Source organism: Homo sapiens, chromosome 12 (assembly GCF_000001405.40).
Source record: "Homo sapiens chromosome 12, GRCh38.p14 Primary Assembly".
Taxonomy (NCBI): domain Eukaryota; kingdom Metazoa; phylum Chordata; class Mammalia; order Primates; family Hominidae; genus Homo; species Homo sapiens.
The window spans coordinates 101,565,399-101,568,049 of NC_000012.12; the positions used below are offsets into that span (position 1 = coordinate 101,565,399).

General features: G+C 42.2%; 1 annotated feature.

Annotated features, from left to right (window-relative positions):
* Positions 953-1,247: an enhancer, noted in NCBI's record as "tiled region #598; HepG2 Activating DNase unmatched - State 9:DNaseU". NCBI's record gives its function as "activates a minimal TATA promoter and a strong SV40 promoter by Sharpr-MPRA in HepG2 cells {active_cell/tissue: HepG2}" and the evidence as "EXISTENCE:reporter gene assay evidence [ECO:0000049][PMID:27701403]".

A 2,651-nucleotide genomic window follows, 5' to 3' on the forward strand; every position in this document is an offset into this window, starting at 1 on the left:
GAAATCTTTCCTGAACTTCAGAGTGCTGCAGGATCTAACCTCTGCCCATCACTCCAACCTCATTTTGTAACTCCCTGCCTTCCCCTAAACTCCACTCACACCGACTTCCTCCAATAACTCAAACTTGTTCCCATTTAGGGACTTCGCGTTGTCTGTTCCCTCTGCCTCTTCCAGAAACAGTCTTCTCCTTGATCTTTGCCTAGGGATGTGAAGTGTGGACAAAGATGTAACAATAATAAATCTAGAAGGGGGAAGTTCCGTACATACCCATCTCTGCACAGAGTTGCATTTAAAGAAGCTAAAGTTGGCCGGGCGCGGTGGCTCACGCCTGTAATTCCAGCACTTTGGGAGGCTGAGGCGGACAGATCATTTGAGGCCAGGAGTTTGAGACTAGCCTGGCCAACATGGCGAAACCGCATGCCTACTGAAAATACAAAAAGTAGCCGGGTGTGGTGGTGCACACCTGCAGTCCCAGCTGCTTGGTAGGCTGGGGCAAGAATCGCTTGAACCTGGGAGGCGGAGGCTACAGGGAGCTGAGATTGCACCACTACACACCAGCCTGGGTGACAGAGTGAGACTCTGTCTCAAACACAAAACAAAACAAAAAAACAAGAAGCAAAAGTCAACAGAAAAAAAATTATAAAAGTCTTCCACTTTTGCTTGCATCTCTCAAAGAAATTTCAAAAAAAAAAACCCAAATGCATATTTCACTGCAGCACTTATTAAAATCCTCTCTCCTGTCTCATCTACCTCCTTTGCACTCTGCAGTTGCAAACCTTTCTCCAGCATCTCCAAACGTCTAACATCCATTCCCAGAATGTTTTCCTTTCACTCTAACTCCTACTACCTCCATCCCCAACTTTTTCTTTAGGCTCACCTAGCTTTCCTTCCATAAGCAAGAATCCTTCCTCTTTAGGAGTCTGGGTGCGGGGAGAATGCCCTTTGACAGGCCAGAGAGGAAAGGAAAGCTTTCTTTCCTTTTACGTGGCTTTTTCTTGAGTCCCATAACAAGGATGTTTGGCAACCTGTAGGAAAGAATGTGTCATAGTCAAATTAAGGGGAGACAACCAAATTAGGAGTGGAAAGGCACATGAAAGGAATAGCAGCAGGGGGGTTTGCCAGGGTGGAGGGGAGGAAGGGATGACTCAACAACCTGATTGTAACTTAAAATACCACCTCTACTCTATTGATATGTCTGTTGGATGTTACGCATGTGGTAGAATTTTCACAGTTGCAAAATTAATTCTATCCGTGAATATAAGGTGATTTGACATCTTTGGAGTAGATGTTATTGCTTAAATTTTTAAGGGTCACATGTGAAAGTGAGTTACTGAATAATCAAATTGAGAAGAAACACATTACCAGATTTTGCTCGAAATGCATGAACAAGCTTATTGTTGTGAGGAGCAGAGAAGATGAAAGACCAGGGTGTTAGCGAACTTATTTTCTCTGAGGTTTGGAATATAGGTTTGCAGCCTGACAATCTAGAGTCAAATCTCACCTCCACCTTACTTCCCAGCTCTGTGACCTTGGGCAAACTACTTAAACGTTTATTCCTGAATTTCCTCATCCGTAAAATGAGGACATTAATACCTACCACATAGGACTGCTGTACTTGATAAATCATTGTACCAGTGACATTATCACATTCACCTTGAGTTGGAGAGTTAAGAATGGTTTCTTTCTTCTATTAAACCTTCTGATGATATAGAGCTTGAGCATTGTAACTAAATCTAAAGGGAGTGAGAAAAAAAACAACAACAAAGGGGCTGGGAGAAATTTTCATTTGACTGAGCTGTTACTAGCTGGGATAATAGAATCATAATATATGACGAGCAAAGACAGCACTGCAGATTTTTGGCCAGGTATTCACTGAAACCATTAGCACTTCGTATGTCAGAAGTTAAAACCTAACCCCATGAGTGAGGCAGTTTGAGCCTATATTTATAACTGCTCTGGAAGTCTGGTGCTGAGATGAAAGATCCTTATTCATTTGGGATCTTAGTCAAGTTCATGTAAATGGAAGGAAAGGGAGGAAGACTCCAGTTAACTGGTGCTAATCTAAGACAGGACTTGGGATCGATGTCTTAACTTGCCACAGAGATATTTTCCAGAGTGGCTACCAAGTAATGTTGAACTTGGAGGGATGTAAATATTGTCCAACAAAGTATAGTGTGGCTTGTTTATTATTTTTTAAGGAGTGGCTTTCTCTTTATTAGTATTTTAAATTTATTCTACTGTCTCTGTCATAGGAAAGGCTTGAAGGCTTGAATATTCCTGAATTGCTTATCTGCAAGGAAAGCTGGCTTTGGGCATGTGTTCTTGGTAATGCTAGTTTTCCTTTTGCTCTGAGGACAAAGTTGGCTAAAACCAAGTGTAACTGGAGTTATTAAGATTTTCTTACTGTACCTGTCACCAGCTAATTCAGACGCCCACTCTGAACATGTCACCAGTCCTGTCTAATGTCTCCTTAGGCAGACCATTATAAATGCCGCAGAAAAACAGGGCGAAACATGAGTTTTGGAACAAAGAGGCTTTTAAAGAGGAAAGCAAAGCAAGAGAATGGAAGACCCCCCATTCACTTGCCTTTTGGTTGGGGTTTTGCAGTTGCATCAGACTCCGGGCACTTAAAACACTTCACTGTCATCTGT